Here is a 1908-nt window from a genome sequence, read left to right on the forward strand (position 1 = left end):
GGAAGTAGTCCCTGTTTTTCAGAATAGTCTGAGTACAAATAGTTTGTTATTAGTTCTTCTTTAAATGTTTGGTAGAATTCCATAGTTGAAGCCATTAGATACAAAGATTTTCTTTACTGGGAGATTTTTTTATGACAGCTTCCATCTCATTACTTGCTATAGGTTTGTTTAGGTTTTGGGTGTCTTCACAGTTAATTCTTGGTAGGTTTTATGTGTCTAGGAATTTATCCATTTCCTCTAGATTTCCCAGTTTATTGACATATAATTGCTTGAAGTAGCCAATAATGATCCTTTGAATTTCTGAAGCATCAATTGTAATGTTTCCTTTTTCATCTTTGATTTTATTTATTTTGATCATCTTTCTTTTTTTTTCTTCATTAGTCTGGCTAAAGGTTTGTCAAATTTGCCTCACTTTAAAAAAACAATTTTTTGTTTCAATGATCTCTTGCATTTTTTTCAGTTCAATTTCAGATTTTTTTCTGCTCTGGTTTTATTATTTCTTTTCTCTCACTAATTTTGAGTTTGGTTTGCTCTTGTTTTTCCAGTTCTTTAAGATGCATTGTTAGGTTGTTTATTTGAAGTTTTTCTTATTTTTTGATGTAAGCTCTTATAGCTACAAACTTTCCTTATAGTACTGCTTTTGCTGTATCTCACAGGTTTTGGTTTGTTGTGTTTCCATTATTATTTGTTTCAAAAAATTTTCAATTCCCTTCTTAATTTCTTCACTGGCCATTCAGGAGCATATTGTTTAATTTCCATGTGTTTGTATAGTTTCTAAAACTCCTCTTGTTATTGATTTGTAGTTTTATGCCGTTGTGGTCAGTGAAGATGCTTGATATTATTTCAACTTTTAAATGTTTTAAGACTTGTTTTGTGATCTACCATGTGGTCTATCCTTGAGAATGATCCATGTACAGTGGAAAAGAATATGTATTCTGTAGTCATTAGATAAAACATTCTGTAAATATCTATTAGGTCCATTTTGTCTACAGTGCAGATTAAGTCCAATGTTTCTTTGTTGATTTTCAGTCTGGGACATCTATTCAACGCTGAAAGTGGGGTGTTGAAGTCTCCAGCTATTATTGTGTTGAGGTCTATCTCTCTGTGTATCTCTAATGATATTTGCTTTATATATATGGGTGCTCCAGTGTTGGGTGCATATATATTTAATATCGTTAGGTCCTCTTGCTGAATGGACTTCTTTATCATTACATAATGTCCCTCTTCGTCTCTTCTTAAAGTTTTTGTCTCAAAAGCTTTTTTTTTTCTCATATATGTACAGCAACTATTTCTATTTTTTGGTTTCCTTTGGCATGGAATATCTTTTTCCCTCCTTTTATTTTCAAACTACGTGTCTGTATAGGTGAAGTGTGTTTCTTGTAGGCCACAGGTCAATGGGTCTTATTTTTTCATTCATTCAGTCACTCTATGACTTTTGATTGGATAATTTCATCCATTAAATTCAGTATTATTATTGATAAGTAGAGTATTACTCTTGTCATTTTGTTATTTGTTTTCTGGTTGTTTTGCGGTCTTCTCTTCCTTCATTTTCTTCCCTCCTGTCTTCTTTTAGGGAAGGTGACTTTCTCTGGTGGTATAATTTAATTTCTCACTTTTGTGTTTTGTGTATCCATTGTATGTTTTTTGATTTGGGGTTCCTATGAGGCTTTCAAATACTATCTTATAACCCGTTATTTTAAACGGATGAGAAGTTAACACTGATTACATAAGCAAATACACACACCCACACACATGCTTACATACAAACACACACACACACACATGCACAAGAAACCAATAAAAACTCCACACTTTAACCTTGTCTCCCTATTTTTAAACTTTGTGTTGTTTCTCTTTGTTTTATTGTACTGTCTATGTCTTGAACAATTATAGTTATTATTTTTATTG

This window comes from Homo sapiens, chromosome 8 (genome assembly GCF_000001405.40).
Source record: "Homo sapiens chromosome 8, GRCh38.p14 Primary Assembly".
NCBI lineage: Eukaryota > Metazoa > Chordata > Mammalia > Primates > Hominidae > Homo > Homo sapiens.